Source organism: Homo sapiens, chromosome 2 (assembly GCF_000001405.40).
Source record: "Homo sapiens chromosome 2, GRCh38.p14 Primary Assembly".
In the NCBI taxonomy this organism is placed as follows: Eukaryota; Metazoa; Chordata; class Mammalia; order Primates; family Hominidae; genus Homo; species Homo sapiens.
Window position 1 is genome coordinate 194,264,015 of NC_000002.12, and position 11,624 is coordinate 194,275,638.

General features: G+C 35.8%; 1 annotated feature.

Annotated features, from left to right (window-relative positions):
- Window positions 757-1,256: an enhancer, noted in NCBI's record as "H3K4me1 hESC enhancer chr2:195129495-195129994 (GRCh37/hg19 assembly coordinates)". NCBI's record gives its function as "activates a minimal SCP1, AML or CMV promoter by ChIP-STARR-seq in primed H9 embryonic stem cells {active_cell/tissue: H9 hESC(primed)}" and the evidence as "EXISTENCE:reporter gene assay evidence [ECO:0000049][PMID:30033119]".

The following is an 11,624-nucleotide window of genomic DNA, read 5'->3' on the forward strand; positions in this document are numbered from 1 at the left end:
CCAAGAGTCAAACAAAATAAGCCATTAAAAGTGCTGATATAAAGATGTGTACAGGTACCAAGTGAAGATAAATCTGAGTAAAAGGGAACATAGGAAGAAGGGAAAGGAAAAGTGTTCCAAAAATAATTGTGTATTTATATATGATAATATACTTGCATTAATTTGCTTTTGGTAACTGAATATTGGAAGAAGAAAAAAATTAATTTTTAGTATTCAAAGCCAAAATTTAGCTATTTCAGAATATGGCGGTTAATAGGGTTGTAGTGGCTGATATCTTGAAATGAATGAGGAGGAGGAATTTTTCAGATTACTGCCAATCTGTTGCTTGCAATTAATGGCTAAAAACCTTTTTGTGTGCAATTATTTAGTAACTTTGCCATGTTTCCTGCCCTGATTATAAAATTTATTATTATAACATTCTGTTGAGAGGTGAAAAGGTAAATAGTCAAAAAATGCTGTAGGTCTAGGATTTCAAATATTATTTTATTGATCACAACTTTACTCTGCATGGCTGATAAGTGTGTTTGCAGCAGCTTCTTATTCTTTGATAACCTGTTTTGAACCAGCATTCTAGTTATTGATGGCAGGGGCTGCTGCCATCATGCCGGCATCAGCAGGGAAGTGCGGCTGGGGCTACACACTCCATGGAGCAGGTGGGAGCCCTGCCCCTTCTGAGTTAGGACAGGATCTCCCTGTGCCCAAACCAAAGCTGCAGACCCAGGCCTCCTGCTCTATGGAGAAGGCAGGAGCCCTGCCCTCCTGGGCGGGGCTACAGCGTCCCAAAGTGCAGTTGTGGATCCCAGCACCCCTGTGCCCTTGGGGGAGGACTGGGAGCAAGCAGGATCTGCCTTCCTGGGTGTGGCTGCGGCCGCCCTCCTAGGCACTGCAGCCACCCCCTTAGGAGCAGGTTCCAGGCATCTCTGCAGCCTGCACTCTCGGGGGCCTCAGGAAGGACCCCCCCCCCCACCCAAAACACACACACACCGCAACCCTGTCCCTGCAGGCTAGAGGGTGTCTGCTCCCACTGCCTGGCCTCTCTTTGCTCTGGGTACCTGCTCCCATCTTGGCACAGGGTTGGGGATAAGCCCTGGGGCCATGGATGGCAGCAGGAGGCAAAGTTCTGGGCAGAAAGGGGTGGGTCCCCAGTAAAGGCCCCACCTTCAGGCCTTTGAAGTGGAGTGGGGACTCATGGTGCCTCTTCTTGGCTGCCCATGGCTGCCCATGGACCAATTATCACGCACGTCCTTCCCTCTGAGGTTCATAAAAGCCCTGGGCTCAGCCAGAGCAGGACAGAAGATGGCCAGAGGAGAAGAGGGCAGAGAGACAATGGGATGACAAGCTGCAGAGAGGAGTATCCTCTCTACTGAGAGCTATTCTCTGCTAAGACCTACAGAGCCGACCTTCCCACAGAGAGGAGCTACCATCTCTGCTGAGAGCTTCAGAGACCTGCAGAGACCAGCTACTCTCTTTGCTGAGAGTTTCAAAGATCTGCAGAGATGTCCGAATAACCTGGCTGCAGAGAGAGGAGCCACTCTCTCCAGGGCCTCCTTTCTGCTGAGAGCTGAACACTCCACAAGATGACCTTCCTACACAGAGGAGCTACCCACTCTAAGTGGTATCTCCTCTGAGCTATTCTATCACTAAACAAAACTCTTCTCTTCTTCATCCTTCACTTGTCTGCCTACCTCATTCTTCCTGGATGCAGGACAAGAACTCAGCCAAAGGTGCTGCAGCCACAGAGGTTTCCTGCCAAAAAAAAAAAAAAAAATTGACACCCAGAGATCCTGTAACATTACTGTGGCTGAGAACAGCTATCTGGAAGAATTGCATGCCTAGGTCAAAAGGCAAATGCAAAAAGAATTAAAATGTAGTGTCTTTTTTCACTTGAAACTCCATGTGGGCAACCATTTAGTTGCTGTTTTCTTCTCAGATGTTCTGTAATAAGAGAGAGAAAGGTATTAAATAACACCTAATCACGAAAAAAGAGGCCTGATGTTGTTTGGGAAACAAAATGCTAAAACACATTGTAAATGGTATATACGGTGTAAATGACACAGGAAGAATATAAAATTTCAAAGGTGAATATGATACCATTTTAGGATCAATGATCAACTTATGAATGGATTTAAAGTACATCAATACTAAATTGTCATCTTTAAATTGGGAGTATTAGAAGGAAGAGTATAAAGTCCCTATCATTTTTGCAATGAAGGCCGGCACATTACCAATTCTTATTCAAAATGTTTTTATTCAATGAAATAAAGTACACATGTATACATATTTGTGTATGTGCATCTATGTATTTCAAATGATATTGATGTTGTTATTCAGGGTTCCCTGAAAAAAATGGGAAAAAAATCTTAATCAAAAAGACATATTTCTTTATAATTAAAGTGATTGCTAACTACTAAACTATTTTATTAATTAAAATATATTTAATTACAATGCATATATTCACATATCCAAATAACATTATGTAGCCTTTTCTAGCCCTATTTGAGAGAACTTAAATTTCAAATATCTCTTATATCTACACCCAAATCATGTCATGTAACTATTACTATTTCCAATTGAAAGATAAGGTATTTGAGGCTTATATATATTATATAACTTGTCCAAGGTCATAAATTTAACTGGAAAAGTCAAAAGTCAAATCCAGATGGTCTTTTCTAAAGTTGAATGTTATTTTATTGCTGTATCATTTGCTTGCATTTTATTCCTGGTTCTGCCACTTACCCATTGCCTTATTTACCTCATCTCAAAATTGTACCATATAGATTATTCTGAATCATAAATGAGACTAGATGGATAGATAAATAATTTATAAAATGTATGTTACACTTATTTCTGTGTGCACAGCATATTACTCTGGACTAATTTAAGCACACAATATATATTCAATAAATGATAGTTATTATTAGCAACCACCTGCATTAAATTTTATTGCCTCAGACTTCATGTTGTAATACAATAAATAGTGTATTCCAGAAGAACTTACCAAATTTGTTTAAAAAATTCAATTTTTAATTTAATTTATATTGGTAAAGGATTTTCTAAGTTGGACAAGATTTTATTAGCATAATTATCCAAAAAGAAATGTAACATGCATATATTGAGGGGCAGAATTTTACCTAAATTTCATTACACAAGTTAAGAAAACATGGCAGAATGACTGTTATTTCATTATAAATTAATTATAAATTATAAGGATCTATAAAGTTTTAAATAAAATATTACAGAAAAAACATCTGTCACACAATGTCTTTATTTATCTTATATTTTTAACTTAAATGAAAAAGTCACCGATTTTGCTCTAAATAAAGTAAATATAATGTGTACCATATCGTTAAAAAATCTTGTAGCTTACAGAAAGCTTGAAGATGGGTTATATTTTCAAAGAATAAAATGTATTCTATTAAATTCTAATGTAGCTTAATCATTTAACATTGCTATATTGTTGATTATAAAAGCTAGTTTACATTTTAATATGCATTGGGAACTCTTCAAAATAATTTGTTTAAGAAAAGGAACATGTAGCTCAGTCATCAGTTCATGCATGGAAAACATTAAGGATGATTCTTAAATGATTTGAATTATAACATAACATAGATATGTGTTTTAGTAATAAACGAAGTGCCATGAATTTTTGATTATCCTAGTGCCTTCTTAAAAAATGAAACAAAAAGTGACCTTTAGAATTTGGTTATTATTGCATTAGAAAATCTAGGATCACAGACTTAGATTGTATTTAAATATGTTTATTTTTCCTTTCCAATTTCTAGAAAGCCTGTATAAAAATAGATAAAATTTTGTATTGTTGTAATAATTGTTGAATAAAGCTGCAAATTATTATCAAAGTGAACTTTCTTAATATATTAAATTATATTCTCTCTGCTTAATAGGTCACCTTTACATACATAATGCTACAGTTTATTTTCTATGTAAATCAATTCAAGGTTAATTTTTACCCTAAATATAAATGCATATGTGTGTATATATACATACATAAATACATATATAAATACATATTTGTATATAAATATATATGCATATATACATGCATATAGATACACATATCTGTTTATATACACATTTAAATAACAAAAGGATAAAATTGTATATTAATCTGAGAGAAGATTTCAATATGTTAAAAACTTTTTCTTTTATATTTGATTTGTTATATATACTCTAAATGTGTCTAGATGTCATCAGAATCTAATTCTATTTCATAGGGAGGCATTGTCAAGAAATGAATTATATTCAAATTGTTTTATCTCAATGGGTCATTCATACTCAACGTCAGTACTGAGAACCAAATTTATACTAACCACTTTACTAAGTTCTTTTAATTAATAAATGGATGAGAGAAAATAATTGCCACCAGTTACCTCAACATAAATTGTTGAAATATAAAAATCTAAAGATCATTAGATCATATTATTCATAAAGTCCTATGGAGTTGCAGCTGGGTATTGTGAATCAGAAAAACTGATTTCTGGGAAGTAAGCATGGAGAAAATACATACCTCAAAATGCACAGCTCAGAACTCTAAAATTTAAATAAACCTAAAATAAAACCTTCTCATAATTCATGACTGGATTCACAAAAAGTAAGGAAAATCCTTAAATCGCCAAACCAAACAAACATTAATCGTAATACACTTGCTGTCTTAAATGTTCTGAAAATTCATGTCTTCTCAAACTGCAGATCTAATGGCATATTGGGTAATTAGAAGCAAACTCAGGAATGTGCCAGGACGGCCAGAAGAGAGATACCTGTATAAACTCATGAACATCAAAGGACTACACACTCAGTGAACAGGCAATCTATAAAGGTCAACTCAACAAAAACGGACAGTAAGGAAATCCATTTGCTCAGACGTTTGCTCTGAATAAAGAAGGAAAATGTCTCCACTGAGAAACTCAACCATCTCTCACATGGACTCATGGCCTGAACCCCTGCATGGCACAAAATCCTTCAGGGAGAGATTTTGATTAAAGTGGCTCTGGGTTGTTAGTATCCCTAGGCAACTTGCAAAATAAATTCAATTTCTCTGCAGACAAAAAAAATAGAACTCAAGACTTAAAATTTTTCATCAACAATGTTCCAATGCACACAAAAATCACAAAGTGCAATCTTTCCATATCAGTCCTGTAAAAGCTTCAGATATTAGAAATAAAGAAAAAAATTAAAATGTGAGTTTTAATATACTAATGTAAATATATAAAAAGACTTATACAAAATATATGACTCATTTTTAACTGAGTGTGTATACATGAATATAAAGTTGAAAATGTGAGGACAAATCAAGGGATTATCCAAAGCTGTCAAAGATATTTTAACAAGCACTAAGTAGATTTTTGAGAATTAAAAAAATACATATTTATAATTGAATGACAAAAGTTCAACAGATGAGTTAGGCAATAAATATAACATGTCTAAAAAGAATTGGCAGTCTAGGTGATAAATTTAAACATCTGAAGAATTTTGTACAATGAATCACATAGAAATTAAGCGATGAAAATTGTGACAGGTAGAATTACAATGGCTAGTGTACATCTAATTATAGTGTTATAATTAGAAAAAAAGGAAAGATAAGCATTTGAAAGGAGAAAATTTGTAGGCTGGAGGCTTGAAGCATGGAAAGGGAGAAATAATTGTTGGAAGTACTAGGATAATGGGGTTGGAAGAAGAAACATTTTCTAGGTCAGGGAGCAAAGGAAACTGAAACTCCAGGGCCTGTTGCACAAAGCTTAAGGAAAGTAAATTGATTTGTTCTAGGATAAATTTTCTTCTGAGAAGCAGAAGCATCTTTCTGATAGCTATTGGTGAAGCTGACAGCTGCTGGTGAAGGAAAGAAAAAGTGGATGCATGAAATGGTGACGAATAGACTATTGAAATCTTGGGTGGTGATCTTGTGCATGCATGTGTGTGTGTGTGCACATGTGCGCGTGTGTGTCTATTTTAGGTGAAATAATCCTTCCACATTGCAACATTAATTTAAATAGCAATTTAAGAAAAAGTCACTTAATACTCTTTGTGAGCCTAGAAGCCTAAATACAGTCAATCCATATAAATAGTGGATCCGTGAAATCTAGATTAAACTTCAAGAGTCTTATTTTGAAATTATTCCTAGTAACTTACAAAACTTAGCTGTCTCTTGCATTTTGACATTAATTAAAGGAAGTAAGACATCCGATTTGGGTTTATGAATTTTTGTATCTTGGGTAATTTTCACAAAACCCTTTTCCACAACCTTAGAACATCTTTAGTGCAATTCTCGGTGATCATAGTGATGATTACAAATGAGGGCATAATTTCTTGAAATTATAAAAGAAAGTGATTCTGAGCCAAATAAATTGGTGGAGTTAAGAAGAAAACCTAGACATAATGGGGGAATTATTGACTATCTGGGCAGCATTTAGAAATTTATCTGTTATATTTTAAGTACTATGTTGTTACACTTTGGGTAAAATATTAACTCTAGAGCTAAGCAAGAGGAAAAAAATCTATTTGTAACCAGAAAGTAAAAACTGACCTGACATGAATGTTGATATTCCTGAAAATATCACATCAAATTTAAATAAAATATTTGAAAAATTGTGAAATCTGCATTATAGACATTGAGGGGGTGCAGTGTTTTTGTTAGTATATTTAACATGGATAGTCAGTAATATGTGAGATTGCTAGAATAAATATGTCTAAGCAATTCCTTTGTAAAGTAGTATGCTGGAAAAATGTTATTCATTTTTGCCTAAGGGTCATACAATTTCTCAAGAAGTTAGGTTATTTCCTTGAAGGGGGATGGGAGGTTCCTAACAGATATCCTTTGGCTTCTACTGTGCTTTACTCACTGAGTTGAAATTGCCTTTAGCAATTACTTTAGAATATGGGCTATGGACCAAGTAAATGAAAATCACCCAGCATAGTTTTTAAAAATGCATACCCCTGTGCCCTATTCCAGGCTCAAGGATGTAAATTCTTAATAATATTTCTACATGAAAGTTTGAGAAATTGGACCATGCTGTTGGGCTGCTGCTCAGCAAGTTTTGGAAAAGCTAATAAATACTATTTTCATTATAAACTACAGACATTTATAGGAAGTGAAGTACTAAGACTGGAGAAGAGAATTTAAATTTTGGTTAGAAAGTCTATCTAGTTTCAAGGAAAGGGCACAATTACAATCATTTAAAAGTTGCCTTCAGGCAGAATGTCATAAGAGAAAGAGCTGCTGTCTCCTTACAACCCTAACCCTTGGAGATGGGATGGAAATAAGAGGGATGATGATAGATTCCAGAGCCAACTAATAGCTATATAACACATGCACAGCCAACAGCAATAACTAAAACTTGGAAAATGCTCAGGAAGACAGAATATGGCAAGATCCTGACATGTGTGGGGTAAATGACAGCCTAGTGAGGCAAAAGACCAGGAGTCAAATGTATAGCAGGTAGCATGATGGCTTTCTAGCTGTGCTCCTGTGTTTCACTTGCATTGCCCTAGGGGCATTATTATCCACTCACTGTCACGAGTATAAGAGCAATATAAGTTTCTGACTCTGAAGACACTGCAATATTACACAGAGATGAGATGTCCCTGGGCTGAGAAGAATTTTAACATGTGCAGTTCAGCTTACCCATTTCCACCACTGTAGGATATATGAGCTCAACATGAGGAGGTAATTCTTGGAAAAGGGCAGTGAGTGCCTGGGTGAAGTACAGGGGGTTTCCTGAGGTCAAAGAGGAGGAACTCATACTACAACATGAAAGTTTATCTCACCTTAAGGGCTTCACCATACTTAGCTGATGGGTCAAAAGTCTCTTAACTCACCGAAGACAAAAAAAAAAAAAAAAAAGCTATTATTAGGCAAGAGGATTGCTTGAGCCCAGGAAGTTCAGGCTGCAGAGAGCAGTGTTCATGCCACTGCACTCCAGTCTGGAAGACAGAGTAAGACCCTGTCTCAAAAAAATAATAATAATTAATTATAAACATTGGATATGATAAAAACTTCAGCTGAGTTAAATTTAAAGGAGTTTAATTGAGTAGTGAACGACTGGTGAATTGGGCAGCCTCTTGAGCCCAGTATGCTCAGAGAGTCCAGCTTCACCACATGGTTGAAGACTTATAGACAGAAAAAGGAAAGTAATGTACAGAAAACAGAAGTGAGGTGCAGAAAGAGCTGGATTGGTTACAGCTTGGCATTTGCCTTATTTGAACACAGTTCTAACAGTTGGCTACATTTGATTGGCCAGAACTCAGTGATTGGCACAAGTATATGCTAAGGTCTGTTTATTTTACACCTTCACTTGTTATAGTTCATGATGTACAGAGAATCCTTTGGGCCAAACTTAAAATATGTAAGCAGGCAGCTTTAAGCTAAATTTGATTTAACAGATATAAAAAATGTGAAAGTTGAAATATGGAATTCAACGTTTGAATTAAACAATAAACTGGTAAAACAGAGTAAATTAGAATATTAAAAGATTAACAAATGTCTTATTTTAAAAGCCTCCAAAAACTGATGAAGATAAGGGAAACATAAAGAAAAAGTAAGATCCTGCCGGGCGCGGTGGCTCACGCCTATAATCCCAACACTTTGGGAGGCCGAGGCGGGTTATCTGAGGTCAGGAATTCGAGACCAGCCTGGCCAACACGGTGAAAACCAGACTCAACTAAAAATATAAAAATTAGCTAGGTGTGGTGTCACGTGCCTGAAATCCTAGTTACTCGAGGCTGAGGCAGGAGAATCACTTGAACCCGGGATGTGGAGGTTGCAGTGGGCTGAGCTCGTGCCACTGCACTCTTCACTCCAGCTTGGGCAACAGAGTAAAACTCTGTCTCAAAACAAAACAAAGAGAGAAAAAGTAAGATTCATGGAGCCTAGAAGGAGTGTTCAATACCTGTGTAATCGAGTTATAAGTGGAGAGGAATAAATTAAATGGAAAATAGAAGCCTTAAATTAATAATGACTGAATGACAACTAGAATTAAAGATGTAAATTATCAGATTGATCTGTCACAGAGAGTCAAGAAGAGATAAATATGTGAAAAAAACAACAAACAAATCCCCACAACTAAGTGTGGTAAACAGAAATCTGAGAACATTAGAAACAAAGACAAAATGTGAAATGCAGAGGAAAAGAGCAGACCAAACACAAATGGACAAATTTCAGATTGAAGACAGACTTAACGGAGATGCCATATCACAGAAAACAAAGGACACATTTTCAAAATGTTAAAAAATATTTTAAAAATATTTTAACTTAGGTAAAAGAGTATCTGGAGAACAAACCTTTTAAAATTTACTGCACAAAGACTCTCCTTAATTGCCTTCTTGAATTCTGCCAAGAAAAATTTTTAATCTAAAAGAAATCAATAAAATATGGAAAGTAAAGTGAGTAAATAATCTACTGAAATATAGCATCTGACATACATGTTAAATTGATTTAATGGAAATTTATTTCTATTCTTTACCTCTTACTCTAGTAATGGTCTTTTCAATGTGATTTCACAGCCTCACCTAATATGGTTTATCTTTACCTCTCCTGGGCTAGCCTCCTGATCTACTTTAACCAACAGAATGCTGCAGAAGCTGTGTGCTCTTTGAGAGCCTGGGTTCATCATGAACTTCTGCTTGCTCTCCTAAAATCCTGATGCCAGCCTGCTGCATGATGAAAGACATGTGGTTTAGCCTTGAATAACCCACCCACTGGTTGTGACCTGAACTTTAAAAAATTTTTTTTTACTTCCTATCATTTTCACAAATGGATGGCTCCAATTTCATTGAAGAGTCCATGACAGGGTGGTATGCCATAGTGTTTTCTCAACCATTCTTCCAGTTGTAGACACTTGTAACTGAAAAGAAACTTAGGGTTCATGCTCCTGTCTAAACTTTTAGATGCTTCTCTTAATTCAGACAATCTGTCAGTTTGTCTGAGACAGATCCCTGTGTTTCTCAGGTCAGACATTGGTGACTGTTTGTTCAGAACTCTTTACTTCCAGTCAATCCAATCTATTATTTATTTGGAAGCATGGACAGAGGCTTTCACACACACACACACCCACACCCACACCCACCCACACAAACACACACACACACGCACACACTTTGGTTTACCTTTGTCTTAATATAATTTACATCACATTTATTGAGTGCTTTTCAACAATGTTTGCAGCGAAAAATGTCACAGAACAACAGCAAATACAAAATGATGGTCTTTTTAAGGTGCTGTAAGGACATAATAGGAAATTAGTTTGAAATGTCTACATTTCTCATAATTTTCTCATAATACCATAATTTGGTATTATGAATGTTTATGCATAGGAAGAGAAAGGTAGCACAAATTTCCTTAGGCAGCAAAATTAAAAGAGTTGTTGTCTTAAAAACCCAAACTCCAGGAGGAACAAGAATGGTACCAGCTAGTTGCCACTTTTATTTTTTTATCTTTTATTTATATATTTATGTATTTATTTTTGAGGTGGAATCTTGCTCTGTTGCTAGGCTGGAGTGCAGTGGCACGGTGTTGGCTCACTGCAACCTCCGTCTCCTGGGTTCAAGCAATTCTACTGCCTCAGCCTCCCAAGTAGCTGGGACTACAGGCGCATGCCACCATGCCCAGCTAATTTTTGTATTTTTAGTAGAGACGGGGTTTTACCGTGTTGGCCAGGATGGTCTCAATTTCTTGACCTTGTGATCCACCTGCCTCGGACTCCCAAAATGCTGGGATTGCAGGCGTGAGCCACCACGCCCGGCCTAATTGCTGCTTTTTAATAATCAATTGACTGTTTCCTTTTAGTCAAAAACTAATTTATTCATTCAGAAACACCAACCTAATAGAGTTACCACTAAGTCAACGCTACCATAAATCAACCCCAGAAGGTAGAATTTTTTGATAGACTTGGCATGAGTGAAAAGCAAGCTCTATACTTTCTTAGGATTCTACTTGTGGGTAATCATAGGACATCAGGGCGTATCACTTTGCAGTAGGCTGGTAGGAGTTTGTTCTTTGGATATCATTTTCCAAATCACATTAAACAAGCCTAATGCACTCTGGTGGGCCTTTTATTACTGTCTTACTGTCTGTAATTGCCTTTAAAGCAAACAGAATGGAATCCCTGAAAATCATTGTTATTTATATATTTACAAAAAAAAATCTATGCAGCTCGAAGTAAGTGGAAGTTACCGGTATAGCAAATCTGACATGGTAAGGTATGACAGCTCTGAGGATTTCCATAGGAAAGAGTCATTTTAAATTAACATAGATTGAAAATCTTTGTACTGCTTGCATTTTTTTTTTTAGGCCTGAGCACTTTAAGTATTTAAGTCTAAATTGATTTGTTAGTCCTGAGTGTTGCTGGCAGAAAATCCAGTGAAAGTTGCCAATATTTAAACATGAATTTTCACAGGAACAGATATTACATTTCTTTACATTACAGGCAGACCAAAGGAAAAAAAATAGGTAAAATGAAGCCCTACTGAATAAAATATTATTAACATAAAAACAGAGTACTTAATTTACAATAGAACCATACCATGATGTAAACAATAAAAATAATATTTCTAGATGCAAACTTCACATAGTAAAGGCTTTCAATTATCTTTTATAATTATTTATCAAATTAATT